A 23,574-nucleotide genomic window follows, 5' to 3' on the forward strand; every position below is an offset into this window, starting at 1 on the left:
GTCTTTCACCTCCTTGGTTAGGTATACTCCTAAGTGTTTTATATTTTTGCAGCTATTGTGAAAGAAGTTGAGTTCTTGATTTGATTCTCCGCTTGGTTGCTGTTGGTTTATAGCAGACCTACTGATTTGTGTATATTAATTTTGTATCCTGAAATTTTGCTGAATTCATCTACAGTTCTAGGAGCTTTTTGGATGAGTCATTAGGGTTTTCTAGGTATATGATCATATCATCAGCAAACAACAACATTTTGACTTCCTCTTCACCAATTTGGATGCCCTTTATTTCTTTCTCTTGTCTGATTGCTCTGGCTAGGACTTCCAATATTCACTGAATAGAAGTGGTAAAAGTGGGTGTTCTTGTCTCGTTCCAGTTCTCAGGGGGAATGCTTTCAACTTTTTCTTGTTCAGTATAATGTTGGCTGTGGGTTTGTCATAGATGGTTTTTATTACCTTAAGGTATGTCCCTTCTATGCTGATTTTGCTGTCTTAATCATAAAGGGGTGCTGGATTTTGTCAAATGCTTTTTTTGCATCTATTGAGATAATCATGTGATTTTTGTTTTTAATTTTATGTGGTGTATCACATTTATTGACTTATGTATGTTAAGCCATCCCTGCATCCCTGGTATGACACCCACTTCATCATGGTGGATTATCTTTTTAATATGATGTTGGATTTGTTTAGCTAGTATTTTGTTGAGAATTTTTGTCTCTGTGTTTATCAGGGATATTGGTCTGTAGTTTTCTTTTTTTGTTTCGTCCTTCCCTGGTTTTGGTATTAGGGTGATACTGGCTTCATAGAATGATTTCAGGAGGATTCCCCCTTTCTCTTTCTTTTGGAATCATGTCAGTAGGATTGGTACCAATTCTTCTTTGAATGTCTGATAGAATTCAGCTGTGAATCCATCTGGTCCTGGCCTTTTTTTTTGTTTGCAGTTTTTTTCATTACCAATTCAGCCTCTCTTCCTGTTATTGGTCTGTTCAGAGATTCTTCATCTTCCTGGTTTAATCTAGGAGGCTGTATATTTCCAGGAATTTATCCATCTCCTCTAGGTTTTCTAATTTATACACATAAAGGTGTTCATAGTAGCCTTGAATAATCTTTTGTATGTCTGTGGTATCAGTAGTAATAGCTCCTGTTGTGTTTCTAGTTGAGCTTATTTGGATCTTCTCTCTTCTCTTCTTTTCTTTTCTTTTTTCTTTTTTCTTTTTTTGAGATGGAGTCTTGCTCTGTTGCTCAGGTTGGAGTGCAGTGGCGTGATCTCAGCTCACTGCATCCTCTGCCTCCCATGTTCAAGCGATTCATCTGCCTTGGCCTCCTGAGTAGCTGAGTTTACAGGCATGTGCCACTATGCCCGGCTAATTTTTGTTTTTTTAGTAGAGACAGGGTTTCACCATGTTGGCCAGGCTGGTCGTGAACTCCTGACCTCAGGTGATCCACCCCTCTTGGCCTCCCAAAGTGCTGAGATTATAGGCGTGAGCCACGGCGAACAGCCTTCTCTCTTCTTTTCTTGGTTAATCTCACTAATGGTCTATCAGTTTTATTTATCTTTTCAAAGAACCAGCTTTTTGTTTCATTTATGTTTTGTATTTTTTTTGTTTGTTTCCATTTCATTTAGTTCCACTCTGATGTTCGTTATTTCTTTTCTTCTGAGTTTGGATCTGGATTGTTCTTGTTTTTCCAGTTCCATGAGGTGTGAACTTACTTAGATTGTCTGTTTGTACTCTTTCAGACTTTTTGATGTAGATATTTAATATGATGAACTTTCCTCTTAGTGTTGCTTTTGCTGTATCCCAGAGGTTTTGATAGGTTGTGTCACTATTATCATTCAGTTCAAAGAAGTTTTTAATTTCCATCTTGATTTCATTTTTGACCCAGTGATCATTCAGGAGCAGGTTATTTAATTTCCATGTATTTGCATGCTTTTGAGTATTCCTTTTGGAGTTGATTTCTGATTTTATTCCACTGTGGTCTGAGAGAGTACTTGGTATAATTTCGATTTTCTTAAATTTACTGAAACTTGTTTTGTGTCCTATCATATGGTCCATCTTGAAGAATGTTCCATATGCTGATGAACAGAATGTATATTCTGCAGTTGTTGGGTAGAATGTTCTGTAAATACCTGTTAAGTCCATTTGTTGTAGGGTATAATTTAAGTCCATTGTTTCTTTGTTGACTTTCTGTCTTGATGATCTGTCTAATGCTGTCAGTGGAGTATTAAAGTTCTCCACTATTACTGTGTTGCCGTCTATCTCATTTCTTAGGTCCAGTAGTAATTGTTTTATAAATGTGGGGGCTCCAGTGTTAGGTGCATATATATTTAGAATTGTGATGTTTTCCTTTTGGAGTAGTCCTTTTATCATTATATAATGTCTCTCTTTGTCTTTTTTTAACTGCTGTTGCTTTGAAGTTTGTTTTGTCTGATACAAGGATAGCTGCTCCTACTCCTACTTTTGGTGTACATTTGCATGGAATGTCTTTTTCAGCCCCTTTACCTTAAGTTTATGTTAGTCCTTACATGTTAGGTGAGTCTCCTGAAGACAGCAGAAACTTGGTTGGTAAATTCTTATCTATTCTGCCATTCTGTATCTTTTAAGTGGAGCACTTAGGCCATTTACATTCAATGATAGTATTGAGATGTGAGATACTGTTCTCTTCATTGCACTATTTGTTGCCTGAATATCTTGGGTTTTTGTTTTGTTTTGTTTTGTTTTTTCATTGTGTTATTGTTATATAGGGTCCTGTGAACCTTATGCTTTAAGGAGGTTCTATTTTGGTGTATTTTGCGGATTTGTTTCAAGATTTAGAGCTCCTTTTAGCAGTTCTTGTAGTGCTGGCTTGGTAATGAATGAATTCTCTCAGCATTTGTTTGTCTGGAAAAGGCTGTGTCTTTCCTTCATTTATGAAACTTAGTTTTACTGGATACAAAATTCATGACTGATAATTGTTTTGTTTAAGGAGGCTAAAATAGGACCTCAACCCCTTGTAGCTTGTAGGGATTCTGCTGAGAAATCTGCTGTTAATCTGATAAGTTTTCCTTTTACAGGTTACCTGATGCTTTTGCCTCACAGCTCTTAAGATTCTTTCCTTTGTCTTGGCATTAGATGAGTTGATGACTATGTGCTTAGACGATAATCTTTTTGTGATGAATTTCCCAGTGCTCTTTGTACTTCTTGTATTTGGTTGTCTAGATCTCTAGCAAGGCTGGAGAAGTTTTCCTTGACTATCCCCTCAAATACGTTTTCCAAACTTTTAGGTTTCTCTTCTTCTTTGGGAACACCAATTATTCTTAGCTTTGTACGTTTAACATAGTCCCAAACTTCTTGGAGGCTTTGTTCATATTTTTAAATTCTTTTTTCTTTGTCTTTGATGGATTGGGTTAATTCAAAAGCCTTGTCTTCAGGCTCTGAAGTTCTTTCTTCTGCTTGTTTGATTCTATTGCTGAGACTTTCCAGTGCATTTTGCATTTCTCTGAGTGTGTCCTTGATTTCCAGAAGTTTTTATTGTTTTTTATTCATATTTATGCTATCTATTTCACTGAAGAATTTTTCTTTCATATCCTGTATCATGTTTTTGATGTCTTTAAGTTGGACTTCACCCTTCTCTGATGCCTCCTTGATTTGCTTAATAATCTACCTTCTGAATTCTTTTTCTGGCAATGCAGAGCTTTTGTCTTGGTTTGCATCCATTGCTGGTGAGCTGGTATGATCTTTTGGGGATGTTAAAGAATCTTGTTTTGTCATGTTACCAGAATTTTTCCTGGTTCCTTCCCATTGGGGTAGACTATGTCAGAGGGAAGATCTGAGATTCAAGAGTTGCTGTTCAGATTCTTTTGTCCCATGGGGTCCTCCCTTTGATGTGGTATTCTCCCTGTTGTCTTATGAATGGGGCTTCCTGAGAGCTGAACTTTTTTTTTTGACCTTCTGGGTCTAGCCACTCAGTGGAGGTACTGGGCTCCAGACTGGTACTGGGGAGTGTCTGCAGAGTCCTGTGATATGATCCATCTTCAGATCTTGCAGCTGTGGATACCAGCACCTGCTCCGTTGGAGGTAACAGGGGAGTAAAGTGGACTCTGTGAAGGTCTTTGGTTGTGTTTTTGTTTAGTGTGCTGGTTTTGTGTTGGTTGGCCTACAGCCAGGAGGTGGCACTTTCAAGAGTGCATCAGCTGTGGTCCTATAGGGAGGATGCAAACTTGCCCTAGGGACACCTGGTTAAGTTTTCAGGTGTCTCAGGTGGTGGACAGGGCCATAGAGCTCCTGAGAGATTACGACCATTGTCTTCAGCTACCAGGGCAGGTGGAAAAAGACCACCAGGTGGGAGCAGGGATAGGTATGTCCGAGCTTAGCCTCTCCTTGGGCAGGGCTTGCTGTGGCTGCTGTGGGAGATGAGGGTGTGGTTCCCAGTCCAATGAAGTTATATTCCCAGGGGGTTTACAGCTGCCTCTACTGAGTCATACAGGTCACCAGGGAAGTCTGGGAAAGCCGGCACTCACAGGCCTCACCCTGCTCCCACTCGGCCGCAGTCCTGAAGGCCAGTCTCATTCCAACTGTAACTCCCCAACAGCACCGAGTCTATTTCTAGGCAGCTAGTGACTAGGGCTGAGTACTTGCCCCAGATCATGAGCCTCCCCATTCAGAAAGCAAGCAGACTCACAGTTTTTCGGCATTTTGGGGAGCCTGCAGTGGTGATACAGTTGCTTTAGAGGGTCTGTGGATTCTCCCGGCTTTCTTAGTATGTTTCTGTGGTAGTTCTTGAAGCAAAAGTTTATGACATGAGTCTCCACATACTGTTCTGTCTGAGTGGGAGCTGCAAGCTAGTTCTGCCTCCTATTTGCCATGTTAATCCTGAAACAGGTCTCAAACAGTTTAGAAATTTATTTCATTAGGGTTACAGATCATGACTCATGACACAGCCTCAGGATGTCCTGTGAACATGAGCCCAAGGTGGTTTGGTTATAGCATGGTTTTCCATGTTTTAGGGAGACATGAGACATCAGTCAGTACATGTGAGGCATACAGTGGTTTGGTCTGGAAAGGTGGAATAACTCAAGGGGTGTTGGGGGGTGGCTTATAGGTCATAGGTGGATTCAACTATTTTCTTAGTGGTTGAAGGAGCTATTATAAGACCTGGAATCAATAGAAAGAAGCGTCTAGGTTAAGGCGTTGTGGAGACCAGCGTTCTTATTATGTAGATGACGTCTCATATGCCTCCACCCCCAGAGGCAATAGATGGCAAATATTCCCTATTCAGAGCCTTAGTAGGTGCTAGAGCACTCAGCCAATCTTTTCAGAATCAGGAAAAGTCCTGGAAGGGGAAGAAGATTCTCTAGAATGTAAATTTCCCCCACAACAGACAGCATTGTAGGGCCATTGCAAAATATGTCAGAGAAACATATTTTGAGGTAAAATACTTTGGTTTCTTCCAGGGCTCTGCTGTCATGTGATGCTACACTAGAGTCAGGTTGGAGTTTGGTATCTTGTTTCTGCAAAGAGTCTGTTCTGTCAGTCTTAGGATCTCTATTTTAATGTTAATGCTGGTCAGTTGTGTGCCTGAACTCCAAAGGGAGGAGAGTATAATGAGGCATGTCTAACCACTCCTTTCGCATCATGGTCTGAACTAGTTTTTCAGGTTCAGTTGGGTCCTCTTGGCCTAAAAGAGGGTCCTTAGTCAGGTAGGGCACTTAGAATTTTATTTTTAGTTAACAGAAAGATGCCTTTGGTCTAAGAAAGTTTTGACATTATAAACTTTAATAGTTCATCTGTAGTATACAACCTGTAGTATATTAAAACATAATTCATTTCCATTAAAAAGAATGTAATGGTTGATGCCAGATTCCTGAAAGGAGACATCAGAGATAGAAGATACATTCAGGACTATTCCTATCAGACCCACTACTGCCCCACACATTGCACAGAGGATAGTAAACTCAAACTTCATTCAACATAATCTTGTAATCAGTATTGAGCCATACTGAGCATGCATGTCCCTGCTCCAGGCTGTACCCAAACCACCTTGGGCACATGTTCTCATAGTGCATATTTCTGCACTCTCACCTTTCTCATCTCCAGATGGGATGGGCAGTCTGGAAGGAAGAACAGTAAGAGCCCAGGAAGACATGAAGGCAGAGATGGACTCACATCTCTATGACATATATACAACATAGCCATGGTCAAGGTGGCCTTATTCTCCCAGAGCGGCGTCCCCTCATGGGCAGAGAGGAGCTCAAGCCCTGCTTCAGGTGGAAGGGCAGTTGCCTGGCCCTAGCCAGGATCAATGCTGAGCCCCTCGGAGGTCCTGCTTCCCAGGGACCCTGTTTATATTTTATATTTATATTTGGATTTATTTCTAACTTTATTTTTTTTTCTATTCACTCTACTTTTTTCTCTTTTTCTACTTCATTTGTGGTGAGGGTCTTTTAATGCTAAACTCAATTTTTACCTGAGATATCTTCATTTCATTTTCTTTTTGAATTACAGTTTAGAAATATGATTAATTTCTAGGTTGATAGTTGTTTTCTTAAAATTCTGAATATACTAGTACATTGTATTTCACTGTGGCAGTTGGGAAATTTGCTCTTCTTTTTTTTTTTCTTTTTTAGAGACAGGGTCTCACTCTGTTGCCCAGGCTGGGGTGCGGTGTCACGTTCGTGGCTCACTTCAGCCTTGGCCTCCTGGGCTCAAGGAATCCTCTTGCCTCAGCCTCCTGAGTAGCTGGGAATACAAGCATGCACCACTACACCCAGCTAGTCTTATTTCTTTGTAGAGATGGGGCCTTGCTGTGTTGCCCAGTGTAAACCAAAAATAAAATCCTAAGGCCCCCCAACCATCTGAATAGACCCCCACCTCTTGGCCAGGGCACTCCAAAGTTAACCTGCAAAATGGGTTCAGGGCATGACGAGAAGGGAGGGTAATACATGCCTTATACCCTCCTCCCTTTTGGAATTTAGGGGAAGCCAACCAGCATTTAACATCAACACAGACCTTAAATTTGATAAGAAACATTTATAATCTTTATTCTCTGAAGCCTGCTACCTGGCGTCATCTGCATGATAAAATTTGGTCTCCACAACCCCTTATCATAACCCAGACATTCCTTTCTGTTGATAATAGCTCTTTCAACCAATTGCCAATCAGAATATTTTTAAATCTACATATAACCTGGAAGCCCCCTGCCCCTTCAAGTTGTCCTGCCTTTCCAGATCGAACCAATATATATCTTACATGTATTTGATTGATGTTTTATGTCTCCCTGAAATGTATAAAACTAGGCTGTGCCCCAACTACCTTGGACACATGTTCTCAGGATCTCCTGAGGGCTGTGTCATGGGCCACTAGTTACTCATATTTGGCTCAGAATATATCTTTTCAAATATTTTACAGAGGCCGGGTGTGGTGGCTCACACCTGTAATCCCAGAACTTTGGAAGGCTGAGGCAGGACGATCACTTGAGCCCAGAAGTTCAAGACCAGCCCAGGCAGCATGGCAAGACCCCATCTCTACAAAAATAAAAAAAATTAACTGGGTGTAGTGGCACGCGCCTGTAGTCCCAGCTACTCAGAGGCTGAGGTGGGCAGGTTGCTTTGAGCCCAGGAGGTTGAGGATGAGGTGAGCCAAGACCATGTCACTGCACTCCAGCCTGGGCATCAGAGCAAGACCCTGCCTCAAAAAAAAAAAAAAGTGCAGTTTAACTCTTTGTCAACACTAGGCTGGTCTCAAACTCCTGGACTCAAGCAATCCTCCTGCCTCAGCCTTCCAAAGTGATGGGATTATGGGCATCAGCCACCATAACTGGCCAGAAATTTGCTGTTCTAATTGTTATTTCTTTATAAGTAACATGTATTTTTTCTCTCTGGAAGCTTTTAAGATCTCTTTGTTTTTGGTGTTGTACTATAGTGTGTCTAGGAGTGGATTTTGATTTCTTTATTCATCTAGAGACTTGTGCTTCCTGATTTTGAGAATTCATGTCATTAAGTCACTGCAGAAAAATTCTTGGCTGGTTTGTCTTTAAATGTTGCCTTTCTTCATTCTCTGTTCTTCTCCTGCAACTCCTATTAAAATGTATTTTGGACTTTCTTATTCTATCTTCTGTATCTCAACTTCCTTTCTATATTTTACATATTTTGTTTTTCCAGTTCACCTGTTTTCTACTGGGATTCAATATGCTGTTTAACTATTTCATTGTTTTGTTTCTTTTAACTTCAGTGACCACATTTTCGAATTTCAAGCAGTTTTTATTGTTCTTCTTAAATCTGCAGTCTGTTTTCATAGTTTATTATCTTATATTTTAAATTCCTTTTTGTGTCTTCAGATATTTAGACATTTTTAAACATTTTAAACATTTTAATGTTGTCTCTTTCCTAAAACCTTGTTATCTGATTTTAGGAGGTCAAAACCTACAGTTTGTTTTGTCTTTTATTGATTTACAGTGGACTAATTCTTCATGATTTATATTTTGATATTGTGTATTCATTTCATGTGATCTTTTTGTCTGGGAATTCTCAATAACTTGGTTTAAGGATATGTCTTCAAAGACATTTGTGTTGGCTTTTTCCAGGTACTCAGGCTTGATGGACCAGAAACTAACTTGGGGGTTATTTTTTTGTCTAGGGGTTTCTAGATTATATAGCTAATATAGATTTAGTCCCCAGATTCATTTGAAGGTAAATCAGTAGTCTTGAATTCCTGGAAGAGACTTTTGCCCAGGCTATGATGTAGGAGCTTTCTTACGTCCTTCTGTTGAAGGTAGAAGGGTTCTAATTATTCTTTTACTAAATGCGTAGTCTTTAGGGGAGCTGGATTTACACAGAACATATTAATGTAAACTCACTGCTCACTTTGGACTACTGGCTTTATCTCCTATTTCTTAACGGGTTTTGAAACTCAGCCATTTAGTTACCAAAGCCATCAGCCACCCCTCTTATGCCAGATAAACTCTCAACTTCTACTTGCTGCTCTAATTTTTCATTTCCTCTTTGTTCTTAGCTCTTTTTTACAAATTTATGCATTTGTTATCTTATACCTTGCATTTTTGGTTGTTTTGTGGGGATGATTTTTAGGATATCCAATATTCATGTTGCCATTAATAGAAGTTTCCAAAAAGCACACTAACATGTTCTAATATACTTTTAATGCATTAGTTTTCTACCTTATTTAATATACTAATAATGAAATTTTAAATAGAATTTTTGTTCTCAACCAATATCAAACTAAGCATATATGGTATCTTGGCTTTAAAAATTAGAATGACTTATTGAAAATCTGGTGACTAGTCAATTCCATTTTGTTTTAGTTAACTAGCACACTTTCTGATTAAGCAGTTCTCTCCATTCTCTGCAAAATGAAAAGAAACACAGGATTTTAGTAGAGTAGTATTTTTCCTAAACACAAATACTATGGACTGAATTGTATCTCCCCCCCAAAATTTATATGTTGAAGTCCTAACCCCTAGTACCTCAGACTGTGCCTAAGTTTAGAGATTAGATCTCTAAAGAAGTAATTAAGGTAAAATGAGGTAATATGGGTGGGCCCTAATCCTGTAGCAGGACAAGCCACAGACAAACCCCTCAGACACCGAGTTAAAGAAGGAAGGGCTTTATTCGGCTGGGAGCTTCAGCAAGATTCACGTCTCCAACAACCGAGCTCCCCGAGTGAGCAATTCCTGTCCCTTTTAAGGGCTCACAACTCTAAGGGGGTCTGCATGAGAGGGTCGTGATCGATTGAGCAAGCAGGAGGTATGTGACTGGGGACTGCATACACCAGTAATTAGAAAGGAACAGAACAGGACAGGGATCTTCACAGTGCTTTTTTTATGCAAATAACCGATTAGGTCAGGGGTCGATCTAACTACCAGGCCCAGGGTGTGGTGCAGGGCTGTCTGCTTGCGGATTTCATTTCTGCCTTTTAGTTTTTACTTCTTTCTTTGGAGGCAGAAATTGGGCATAAGACAGTATGAGGGGTGGTCTCCTCCCTTAATCCAATCTAACTAATATCCTTGTAAGAAGAGGAAATTTGGACACACAAAGGGACACCAGGGATTCCTGCACAAGGGAAATAGGTAAGGACAAAGCAAGATGGCGGTCTTCCGTAAGCCAAACAGAAAGGACCCAGAAGAAACCAAACCTGCTGACACCTTGATCTTGGATTTCTAGCTTCAGAACTATGAGAAAACGAATTTATATTGTTTAAGTCACCCAACCTGTAGTATTTTGTTACGTCATTCCTAGCAAACTAGTTTAAGTGTCTGCTGACTTTTCAGGATTCATCTTTTAGTATGTTGTCTATGGCTTTACTCTTTTCCTCAAGCTAATATTTATTTCACACCATTCAGATTAACAGTCTTCTAATTGGTAGCTTTGCTTTTGAAATGGTTCACTCTTCATTCTTTCAATACTGCTGTCAGAGCCATCTTTCAAAAATGAAATTTGTACCTAGCTTTCAGTTCCCAGTTTCTAAATACTGCACCCCTTAACAGGACCAGAGGTAAGGTACAAAGTGAGCTCAGAACAATTTGTCATGTCAGAAAGTTAAAAAGTACTCACAAAATGTTAGATACATGTTAGGATACAAGTACCTGTAGATGATTCCATGGGAAAAGAATAGTCTTCAAGAAATGATGATGCTAGGACAACTGGATATCCGCATGCAAAACAATGAAGTTGGGCCTCTGCCTCACATCATATACAAAAAAAATTAACTTAAATGGATCAGCAACCTGAATATAAAAGCTAAAACTATAGAACTCTTAGAAGACAACATAGGGGTAAATCTTCATGGCCTTGGATTTGACAGTGGATTCTTAAATATGACACTGAAAACGCAAGAAACAAAATTAGACAAATTTGACTTCATTGAAATTAAAAATTTTTGTGCACCAAAGAACATTGTCAGAGATGTGAAAGACAGTCTATAGAATGATAGAAACTGTTTTGTTTTTGTTGTTTGTTTGTTTTGGGATGGAGCTCTCGCTCTGTTGCTCAGGCTGGAGTGCAGTGGTATGATCATGGCGCACTGCAACCTCAGCCTCCTGGGTTCAAGTGATTCTTCTGCCTCAGCCTCCCAAGTGGCTGGGATTACAGGCACCTGCCACCATGCCTGGCTAATTTTTGTATTTTTAGTAGAGACAGGGTTTCACCATGTTAGCCAGGCTGGTCTCAAAACTCCTGACCTCAAGCGATCCTCCCACCTCAGCCTCCCAAAGTGCTGGGATTACAGGCATGAGCCATCACACCTGGCCTATAGAAACTATTTGTGAATCATGTATCTCTTAAGGGTCTAGCATCCACAATATATAAAGAACTATTACACAGAAAAAGCCAGTCCAATTAAAACTGGGCAAATGACTTGAAAAACTTTTCTCCAAAGAAGATGGAGTGGCCAGCAAACACAAGAAAAGATGCTCAACATCATTAGTCATTAGGGAAATGCAAATCAAAACCAAGAGATACATTATACTCACTAGGATAGATATAATTAAAAAATGGAATAACAAACTGGCAAGAATGTAGAATAAGTGGAATCCTTATACATTTTTGTTAGGCACATAAAATGGTGCAGCCACAATGGAGAAGTTTGGTGGTTCCTCAAAAAGTTAAACATAAGAATTACCATATGACCTAATTATTCCACAAGTACTATGTGGAATATCCAAAGGAACGTGTATATCCAAAAGAAATGAAAACAAGTACTGAAATACTTTTGTACATGAATGTTTATAGCAGCACTATTCTAAATAGCCAGAAGGTGGAAATAGCCTAAATGTCTGTCATCATTTGAATGGATAAACAAATTGTGATATATTCATACAATGGAATGTTATTTAGCCATAAAAAGGAAATGCTGAGGCGGGGCTGGTGGCTCATGCCTGTAATCCCAGCACTTTGGAAGGCCAAGGTGGGCGGATCACCTGAAGTCAGGAGTTCGAGACCAGCCTGGCCAACATGGTGAAACCCCATCTCCATTAAAAATATAAAAATTAGCCAGGTGTGGTGGCATATGCCAGTGGTCCCAGCTACTCGGGAGGCTGAAGCAAGAGAATCGCTTGAACCCAGGAGGCGGAGGTTGCAGTGACCCGAGATTGTGCCACTGCACTCCAGCCTGGGCGACAGAACGAGACTCGGTCTCAAAAAAAAAAAAAAAAAAAAAAAAAAGTGCTGATGCATGCTACAACTTGATTAAACCTTAAAAACACTGTACTGAGTGAAAAGAAGCCAGGTCACAAAAGATCACTATTGTATGATTTTGTTTATATTAAACATCCAAAATAGGTAAATACATAGAGATAGAAAGCAGATTGGTGATTACCAGGGGCTCGGAATAGGGTAGAATGTAGAGTGACTGCTTAATAGGCATAGGAATTTCTTATGAGTAATGAAAATGTTTTGGAAGTATACATGGAGGTGATGATTGCACAACATTGTGAATGTACCAAATGCCACTGAAGGTTACACTTTAATATGGTTAATTTTATGTTATATGAATTTCACTTCAATAAAAATGTTAATAGTTACAGAAATTGATTATAATATTGATTTTTAAAAGAATCCATGAGTCCATATTGAGACTAAAAAAAAATTAAAATTGAAAGAGGGGGCTTGTGTTTGTTTTAGAGATGAGATCTCACTCTGTCACTCAGGCTGGAGTGCAGTGGCGTGATCATAACTCACTGCAGCCTCAAACTCCCGGACTCAAGTAATCCCACTCTCCCAGCCTCCTAAGTAGCTGAGACTACAGGCTTGCACCAGCATGCTTGGCTTTTTCTTTTCTTTCCTTTTCCATTTTCCATTTTCCCTCTCTTCTCTTCCCTTCCCTTCCCTTCCCTTCCCTTCCCTTCCCTTACCTTCCCTTCCCTTCCCTTCCCTTCCCTTCCCTTCCCTCCCCTTCCCTCCCCTCCCCTCCCCTCCCCTCCCCTCCCCTCCCCTTCTCCCCTCCCTTCCCCTCCCCTCCCCTCTCCTCCCCTCCCCTCTCCTCCCCTCCCCTCTCCTCCCCTCCCCTCTCCCCTCCCTTCCCCTCCCCTCCCCTTCTCCCCTCCCCTCTCCTCCCCTCCCCTCTCCTCCCCTCCCCTCTCCTCTCCTCCCCTCTCCTCCCCTCCCCTCTCCCCTCCCCTCTCCCTTCCCCTCTCCCCTCCCCTCCCCTCTCCCCTCCCCTCTCCCCTCCCCTCTCCCCTCCCCTCTCCCCTCCCCTCTCCCCTCCCCTCCCCTCCCCTCCCCTCTCCCTCTCCTCTCCCTCTCCTCTCCCTCTCCTCTCCTCTCCCTCTCCTCTCCTCTCCCTCTCCTCTCCTCTTCTCTCCTCTCCTCTCCTCTCCTCTCCCAAGCTGGTCTCAAACTCTTGGCCTCAAGTGATCCTCCTGCCTCAGCCTTCCAGTGGGCTGAGATTACAGGCATGAGGTACCACATCCAGTGAAAGGCTCTTCTTGGAGAAGAATGGTGACTAATACATGTAGAAAGAATGATGTTTTAAAATCACCATTTTACAGTCCCCATAGTAATAATTGATTTAGTAATTGCGGAAACCATTGTGTAAAGGATTGCCAGGGACAAGAATATTCACAAAGCCCCGAAGTATCACCATGTTGATTATCACTATTGAAGGGAAACTGTGCCTTTCTCATAGAGACATCTGACAGATACTACCTTAACAAAATGATCAAACCTTACACCACCCAGGTACTCTAAAACCATTTACCAAAAAGAGTGAGAGTGAGCAAAAGTGGCAACACGTTAATTGGTGAATGTAGGTGAAGTTTACATGGGTGCTAATTGAACTATTCTTGCATTTTTTTCTATAGGTTTAAAATTTTTCAAAATAAGTGGGGGTAAAGATGAAATTTGGATATGACCCTTTCCTGTTTAATAGTGTTGCCTGAAGGTTAACAGTTGAACTCTTTAGCCTACTAGTTAAGGATCCTTATGATTCAGCCCCTGTTTATCTTTCCAGTCTTATCTTTTTCCATCACATTTCTCAAACTAGTTTAAATGTTAGCTATGCCACACTACTTCCTATTTTTCAGATTGCTCATGTTCTCTTTCACCCTCATGACTTCGTACACATTATATGTGCCCTCTCCTTGAAGTTTCCTTTTCCTGTCTTTATCTTGCAGACTTCTGCTTGTCTCGCTGAATTCTGTGTAGTTTATCATTTCTTGCAGGAATCTTCCCTGATCATCCTAGGTTGAGTGGATGCTTATAATGCATTGCTCATATTCCTGTTATACCACTTGTTACACTATAAGTTAATTGGCTGAGTACTTGTCTGTTTTCTTCCTAGACTGGGAACTCCTTGATGCCTTGGACTGTGATTTATTTTTCTTCTTTTGGTGTCCACAGTACCTGCAAGAGTGTGTGCCACACGGTAGCTGTTTAAGAAAAGATTTTTACATAAATGAATAAATTTCACCTCCTGCTATTTCCCTGGATATTTTAACTTAAAATAGGTCTGTTTATCTTCATTTGTACTTAATATCAGTTTTATGTGTATATCATGTTTGGTTTTCTTAGTTTTATTTCTTTTTCTCAACTTTATATAGTGAATGATTTTGTTACAGAAATTATTAGTAATTTATAGAATTCTGCAGCACAACTAGTACATGATAGGATTTGATCCAATAAGTATGAACATTTCTTGCTTAACTGTACTACATTGCTAAGCACTGTGGGAGAATATAATAGAGATGACATTTTGGCAATTTAGACAATGAGCTAATGTTTCCTAACATTAAAGCCAAATCTATAACTCATTTTCTATACAAATAAAACTTCTGGATTTAGCAGAGATGTAAATATGATTTTAAAAGGAAAGAAACTCTAAATATACTAAAAACATTTAGGTAAGTTTTTTTTTTAAAATAATCATGTAATATAAAGTCCTTTATAGTGCTGACCTAAAAGGAAGAAGCTGAGGCAAAATTCATGGAAGTAGAGCTTATTTGGGCCAGGGTCGAGGATTGTAAACCAGGAGCATGGATTCAAGTTGCCCTGAATGTAGACTCCAATTAGCAGCAGTTACAAGTAGGTTTTGAAATGAAAGGAAGCAATTCCTAAATTGTTTCCAAGAAATTACATTAATATAACAAGCTATTGATTGGGTATACATTATTCCTTGTATCACAAATTCCAGGAAAATGAAGATAATGGGTGAGTCAGTTAGTCAGGAACAAAATATCTTTAAACAATTGCCCCTGGGCATGGGTGCATAGGGTGTGACTGAAGTCCCATACTCACGTCTCTCTGGGCCTGATAAATTTTACATGCCTCACATAGCTCAGACTGCTCTGAGCTGTTTTTCTTTTCTCAGTAATATAAAATGAAACCCAGAAGCTATAAAGGAAAACATATTGATATAATAATTCTTCTACTTAAAAATGTAAAACTCTAGTGTAGCAAAACAAATTTTTTTATTTGAAAAAAGAGAAAGTATCTGTGTTACATGTTATGGCAAAGGGCTCATTTCCTTGGCATACAAACGACTATTACAAATCAGTGGAAGAAATTCAAACAACCCAATTGAAAAACAGGTAAAGGACATCAATAAATAGTCTGTGGAGGCCAGGCGTGGTGGCTCATGCCTGTAATCCCAGCACTTTGGGAGGCCGAGGTGGGCAGATCACGAGGTCAGGAGTTTGAGACCAGCCTGACAAACATGGTGAAACCCCGTCTTTACTAAAAATACAAAAATTAGCCGGGCATGGTGGCAGGTGCCTGTAATCCCAGCTACTTGGGAGGCTGAGGCAGGAGAATCGCTTGAACCTGGGAGGTGGAGGTTGCAGTGAGCCAAGATCGTGCCATTGCACTACAGCCTGGGCAACAGAGCAAGACTCCGTCTCAAAAAAAAAGTAGTCTGTGGAAAAAGAAGATTGCTGATAAATATAGAAATATTGCCCCCCGCCCCCCCCCCAAAAAAAAAACAACAAGGGGTTTGTTCACCTAGCAAGCAACAAACAAGTGTCCACAAAAACACAGGTTTTGACCAATAGAAGTTTTATTACCTATCACAAGGAAAGAGATCACTGAGAGTATTCTCCAAAGCAGTGTCTCCCTGAGGGAAAGTGACAGGAAGGTTTCATGGATCAGTGGAGAAGGGAGAGGATACGTCATCACATGTAGAGGAGGGGCCCCAGTGGCGCAGACACAGTCAGTCATTATGCCAGCACACAGGTTGCATGTAATGATAATGATGCTATAGCTCCTCCTGGGGTGGAGACTTTATAGCATGGTGAGGCGGAAAGTTCACTTGGGTTCATGTGTAAGTTGCTGAGGTCTGTCAGTAGCTGATTCCAACTGACTAGATGACCACATAACATACAGGGTTTGGGAAAAAACAGGTTGCAAGGCAGGAGGGTATAAAGCAAGCTCACAGTTCATGTTTATTAAATTCTTATAGTCCCTGGAGACCTTCCGTGTCTGCTTACAATATGTTATAATGAATGAGTAGGTCTGTATACTGCTGTGGAAAATTGTATGAGTGAAAAAATCCATCATACTTTTCAATTCCTGATTCAGTTATCTATTGTTGTGTAACAAACCAACTCAAAACTTAGTGCGTCAAATCAGCAAACATTTATTTGCTCCATTTCTGCTCTCTGGGCAGAGCTCAACTGGGCAGTCTTTGCACTGGTCTTGCCTAGAGTCACTCACCTACTTAAAGACGTATAGAGTCAACTAGAGCTGGAAACCTGCAATGGGCTGGTCAGGCAGCTCTCTCTCCCCATCTCTGTGGCATCTTCAGCAGAGTATCTGGACCTTTTTTACATGGTAGCTCAGGAACCCAGGAGGGAACTTTCCAAGAGTCACAGGGCCCAGTATCTAAGTGCTTATGAAAACCAAGTCACATGGCCAAGCCCAGAGTTAGTATTGAGGACTACACAATATGTAATACCAAGAGGTGTGATTCACTGGGGACCACCAGTGTAACCACACTTCCTAATTTATGTTACATACCTATTTATCTGTTTATTGCCACTCTTCCATTAGAATGTATCATCTGCAAGAGGATGGGTTCTGCTTATCTTGTTCACCTATATCAGCCTAGAACAAGATATACTACATTGTTGGATTTCAGTAAATTTTTGCTGAATATATATGTCTAGTAAGATGTTGTGTTTAAAGAAAATGGTGTGTATTAGGGGAGGCTGGTATTTCTGTGTGCATAATAAACTTCTGGAAAGATAAACATAATGGTTTTATGATTAAACATGATGGTTTCTGGATTTGAAAAGGAATAAGGGGACAAGAGGGGACCTTTTACTCTATTTCATTTACATTGTGTATTTCCATGACTGTATCCCAGTTTTATAACTTAATACATAGTAAAATATGAGAATCATTCTTTATTTGTAAAAAAATTATTTTCTTAGACATTTATAAGAAATACTAAAATTAGAGTACAAGGCCAAGCAGCTTGTAAAAATGATTTAAAGTTGTCTGGTCAGTATGATAGAGTTCTTAAAAACATTCAAGTTTATGCTAAATGAATGTTATTCATTTACTTATTCTCCTACTCAACAAAGATTTTTTGAGTATATAATAAGTACTATAGTACATTGTTTTGGGTATCTCAGTGACAAGATTCTTTGTCTTCCAGAGTTCTATTAGTTCAATTGGCAGACCTGGTTGGATGAATAGGAAAATGCCAAATTATAAAATACCTTTGAAAATTCTTAAAAAACTGTATTCCTGTATTCGTTTTGGTTATTAAAATAGTCATTTGGAGCCAAGCATAGTAAAGATTTTGAGTCAGAGACAAAAGAATAAAATAGTAAGACTTTTTCATTTGTGACTTCTGAACTAACTCTCAAGGCAATCTAGAAAAAAGTAGTTTTAGTTCTTCTGAGTTCTCTAGAGTAGATCTCTCACCCTTATAGTTCATTGCTAGATAACCTAAAGAGTATCTGGCATTTATGGTGCCCAAGAAACACTTATTGAAGATATATGTAATAGGCTTCACTTACTGCTGCTTACTGTGTATGTCACACTGTGCTGTATGTTTTACATGTATATTATCTGTTAATCCTTCAACAGCCCTGTGGCAAAATCATTATAGATCTCAGTTTTCAGACTAGGCAACAAAGACTTAAGTAACATACCCAAAGTTACAAATAGCTATTAAGTGGTGAAGCATATTGAAAGTCAAGATCAGAGATACTTCAAAGCTTATATTCTTTTTTTTTTTAACAACATTCTTTTTTTTTTAATATATACTTTAAGTTCTGGGATACATGTGCAGAACATGCAGGTTTGTTACATAGGTATACACGTGCCATGGTGGTTTGCTGCACCCATCAACTGGTCATCTGCATTAGGTATTTCTCCTAATACTTTCCCCTCACTGCCCTCAAAGCTTATATTCTTAATGACTATTCCTTTTTGCCCCTCCACCAAACCCATTCATATGAGACTAGCATTGTTTTGCATCTGTATATGCTTGCATGTTTATTCAAAAAACAGTCTATTTTTTAATTACCTCGGAGAAGACTTTATGGGCAAAAGTGTAGAGGCAGGAAGGAATGTTTGGCTAGACTAGAGTGGCTTATAATAGACATGACGAGATGGGTAAAGAAGTAATAAATTGTAACCTGGAAAGCCAAAGGATTGTATCATGCTGTTAATTGGCTATTCTACTAAAAGGTCAGATGAGGGAAGAACTAAAAATTTTTAGTTTTAAAAAAAATTAGCTTTTGGGTTATTTGTAGATTTTAATTATATTTTCTTTATTCTTCAAGGATATGTAAGATGTGCCTACATTTATGCTTTAAATATCTCTGATTTGTCTATCAACTAATAACATTAGAGCAGTGTCTTTCGCATTTCTTAATTCCCTCTCTAATTTCCCTGTTTATCCTTCTCTCTGTGCAGATTGTTGGTTTGGCATTCTGTCTGGATAGCCTCAGCCAACAAGTATTAATAGCTTGGTCAAAACACAGAATTTTGAGGAATCATTGTATCCATAGGGTAAGGTGGATGTAAAGCAAAGATATTTAGGTAGTTTAGCCATGATTTATTTTATTAACCCATTTATGCCTAGTGTACCATTATTGGAACGCTAAGCTTGTGGGAGTTATTTGTATCCTGCTGCTCAAGGTCATCGCCAAGGTCCGATTTTTCACAAAAAAACCTTATAACCTCCAGCATAAATGGGTTAATTTAATCATTTCTTATTGATTTCGTCTGTCCTAATAGTTCTTAATCTACTTTGGGTCTTGGACCTCTAAAAATCTGATGAAAACAGTGCTCAGAAATTGTAATATCTACAGAAAGTTTATATACCAATCCAGGTTGTTTACAAACCCTTTGAATCCTATCTATGACACCCAGGTTAAGAACTCTTGTGCTTTATCTCCATGCTGGTCTCAAGTAACATCCTACAGTAATTCACCACCACTATAAAATTTTATCACTAATTAGAAAAAGGGTGGAAAAGATGGAATGCTTTAAAAATTTTAAGAACCATAGATTTGTTAGAATCATTAAAAATGTGTTGGAAATAAAAGCAAAAGGAACATCCTTCAGTCTACTTTCAAAATTTTAAGTATGTTTTACAGGCCAAGCATTGTGGCTGTCCTGTAATCCCAGCACTTTGGGAGGCCGAGCTGGGCGGATCGCTTGAGGCCAGGAGTTTGAGACCAGCCTGGGCAACATGGCAAAACCCCGTCTTTATTTAAAAAAAAAAAAAAAGTGTGTAAGTGTGTGTGTGTGTGTAATTTAGCCAGGCATGGTGGTGTTCACCTATAGTCCCAGCTACCCTAGAGGCAATGATGGGAGGATAGATTGAGCCCGGGAGGTCAAGGCTGCAGTGAACTGTGATGGCACCATTGCACTCCAGCCCAGGAAACAGAGTGAGACCCGTCTATAAAAAATAAATTAATTAATTAATTAAATTAAATAAAAACAGTTGTTGGATCACAAAGGAGATCAAGAACAAAATAGCAGAAAATCTAATAGTGGTGAATCAACCATTGTGGAATCAACCATTGTGGCGATTCCTCAAAGGGCTGAAAACAGAATTACCTTTTGACCCAGCAATTCCATTACTGGATATATGCCCAAAAGAATAGAAATTGTTCTGTTATGTCATGAAGATACATGCATGCATCCATTCATTGCCACACTATTCACAATAGCCAAGACATGGAATCAACCTAAATGCCTCTCAGTGGCAGACTGGATGAAGAAAATGTGGTACATATACACCATGGAATACTATGCAGCCATAAAAAGGAATGAGATTGTGTCCTTTGCAGGGACATGGATGGAGCTGGAGGCCATTATCCTTAGCAAACTAACGCAGGAACAGAAAACAAATACAACATGTTCTTACTTACAAGTGGGAGCTAAATGATGAGAACACATGGACATAAAGAGGGGAACAACAGACACTAGGGCTTACCTGAAGGTGGAGGGTGGGAGGACGAAGAGGAGTAGGAAAAAATAACTATTGGGTACTAGATTTAGTACCTGGGTTGCAAAATAATACATACAACAAACCCCCGTGACATCAGTGTTTACTTATATAACAAACCTACACGTGTACCGTGAACCTAAAATAAAAGTTAAAAAAAATGTACTGAAAATACTCTACATGGTTAAGCTGATTTAAGTAAAACTCATAATCTTAAGTGTAGGTATTATTAAGAAGAGAATGAAATGAGTATTTAACTGAAAAGATTAGAAAAAACAAAAAAGTAAGCCTAAGGAGAACAAAGGAAATGATGAAAGTTAAAAGTAGAAATTAATACCTTTAAAGAAACCTTTAATACCTTTAAAGATGACGGTGGCCTCCTGAGTTAATCCTCTGTGGCACTACCCTGCTTAAATAAAACTCTTCATTGTCCTTAAAATGGCTCACTAGACCCTTCATAACCTGGTTCCTATCCACTGCTTACTATATTTCTCACCCTTCCCGTGTTCCCCCACCCCCATGCTCCAACCATATAGAACTCCAGAATTTCTTTTGGTTCGTTGAACACAGTAAACTTAATGTCATTTCCGATCCTTGTGCTTTGCCCTTATTCTTCTCTAGGCCTTCCCACTCTTCTTGCCTGGCCAATTCCTACTGAGTCTTCAAGACACAGCTTAAATTTTACATACTCTAAAAAGGCATTGAACATACAAATGTACATACACATACACACAAGTGCTCAGGTAACAGACTAATTTACATACTCAATCTTCAGTGGTTTGATAGCATTTTACTGCCCCTATTATAGCACTTCTCTCACCAGTCAATATCAAAGAAGTGTTTGACAAGAGGAGTAATAATTGAGGTACACCATCAGAAATCCAAAGTTACACTGCTTAAAATTATTAAAATGAAGCATATTTCCAAAGCTACTTTTGCTAGAGCAGATACTAGTATGAGTGAGATAGGCCAGAATAGTATATTATAAGCAAAAGAAAGTATCCTAAATTTAGCAAATTGTATTGGTTAACTCTCAAGGGAAAAAATACTTTTGAGTCTTCAGATAAATTTTAGATACATCAAGGAAATAAATATAAGCAATTAAGTTATATAAAAACTAGGAAAAATAGGAACTAGTACTAATCCAAACCTCTGGATCAGTGTTGCCTAATAGAAATATAATACAAGCCACATAAGTAGTGTTTTTTTAAAATTTATTTTTATTTATTTATTTTTTTGAGACAGAGTCTTGCACTGTCACCCGGGCTGGAGTACAATGGCATGATCTCGGCTCACTGCAACCTCCGCCTCCTGGGTTCAAGCAGTTCTCCTGCCGCAGCCTCCTGAGTAGCTGGGGTTACAGGCACCCGCCACCACGCCCAGCTAATAAGTAGTGTTAAAATTTTTTAGTAGCCTCATTAAAAAAATAAAAACAGGAAAAATTAATTATAACATTTTAACCCAGTATGTCCAGAATATTGTTTCAACATGTAATTGATATAAAAATATGAAGTACCAGAGTTTTTTAATACTAAGCCTTAAGGTTTTTAATGTATTTTTAAAGATACATGTGATATTTTGATACATGTATACAATGTCCAATGATCAAATTAGGATAATTGGGATATCTGTCATCTCAAACATTTATCTTTGTTTTGAAAACACAACAATCTTCTAGCTACTTTTAAATACATAATAAAGTAGTAACTGTTAAGTTCTTTACTATCAAATACTAGAACGTATTCTTTCTAACTGTAATTTTGTACCTATTAACTGATTTCTTCTCAATCTCACACCCACCTTCCCAGCCTCCAGTAACCACGATTCTATTCTCTACGTCCTTTAGTTCCACTTTTTCAGCTCCCACATGTGAGTGAGAACATGCAATATTTATGTTTCTATGCCTAGCTTATTTTACTGAACATAACGACCTCAATTTCCATCCATTTTGCCACAGATAACAGGATTTCTTTTTTTTTTTTGTTTTGTTTTTTTTCTTTTTTTTGAGACAGGATCTCACTTCATTGCCCAGGTTGGAGTGCAGTGGTGCCATCGTAGCTCACTACAGTCTTGACCTCCTGAGATAAAGCAATCCTCCTGCCTCAGCCGCCCAAGTAGCTGGAACTACAGGCATGTACCCCCATGCCGGCTTTTTTTTTTTTTTTTTTTGTAGAGATGAGGTCTCACTCTGTTGCCCAGGTTGGCCTTGCGCTCCTGAGCTCAAGCAGTCTTTCCACCTCAGCCTCCCAAAGTGCTGGGATTACAGGAGTGAGCCACCGTTCCCCAGCCAGGATTTTGTTCTTTTTCATGGGTGAAAAATATTTCATTGTGTATATATACCACATTTTCTTTATCCATTCATCCATTGATGGACACTTGGGTTGATTCCATATCTTGGCTACTGTGAATAGTGCTGCAATAAACATGGGAATACAAATATCTCTTTGATATACTGATTTCCTTTCTTTTGGACATATACTCAGCAGTAGGATTGCTGGGTCATATGGTAGTTCTATTGTTTGTGTTTTGAGGAACCTCCATACTGTTTTCCCTAATGGCTATAATAATTTACATTCCTACCAACAGTGTAAGAGCATTCTCCTTTCTCTGCATCCTCCCCACATCTGTTATTTTTTTGACATTTTTGTAATAGCCATTCTGACTGGGTTAAGATAATATCTCATTTTGGTTTTGATTTGCATTTCCCTGATGATTAGTAATGTTGAGCATTTTTTTATATACTTGGCCATTTGTATGTCTTCTTTTGAGAAATGTCTACTCAGATCTTTTGCCTATTTTTAAATCTGATTATTTGGTTTTTTTTTTTTGCTATTGAGTCATTTGAGAGCCTTACATATTCCAGTTATTAATGCCCTGCCAGATAGATAGTTTGCAGATATTTTCTCCTATTCTATGGGTTGTCTCTTCACTTTGTTTCTATTTGTTTTTAAGATAGGGTCTCACTATGTCGCCCAGGCTGGTCTCAAACTCCTGGGCTCAAGTGATTCTCCTGCCTCAGCTTCCCAAAGTGCTGGGATTATAGGTGTGAGCTACCATGTCCAGCTACCTTGTTGATTGTTTCCTTTGCTGTGCAAAAGCTTTTTAGCTTGACATAATCCCATTTTATTTTTGCTTTTGTTGCCTGTGCTTTTGATGTCTTAAACAAAAAAATATTTGCCCAGACCAT

General features: G+C 39.1%; 1 protein-coding gene across 5 annotated transcripts in view, besides 1 other annotated feature; it reads left to right on the forward strand.

The window, feature by feature from the left end:
• FNDC3A (fibronectin type III domain containing 3A) overlaps window positions 1-23,574 on the forward strand; it is a 234,489-nt gene that overhangs the window by 73,234 nt on the left and 137,681 nt on the right. The window lies entirely within an intron of this gene.
• Window positions 9,401-10,600: an enhancer, noted in NCBI's record as "BRD4-independent group 4 enhancer chr13:49632061-49633260 (GRCh37/hg19 assembly coordinates)". NCBI's record gives its function as "activates an origin of replication core promoter dependent on BRD2, P300/CBP, MED14 and CDK7 cofactors, and independent of BRD4, by STARR-seq in HCT116 cells {active_cell/tissue: HCT116}" and the evidence as "EXISTENCE:reporter gene assay evidence [ECO:0000049][PMID:35650434]".

Source organism: Homo sapiens, chromosome 13 (assembly GCF_000001405.40).
Source record: "Homo sapiens chromosome 13, GRCh38.p14 Primary Assembly".
Taxonomy (NCBI): Eukaryota; Metazoa; Chordata; class Mammalia; order Primates; family Hominidae; genus Homo; species Homo sapiens.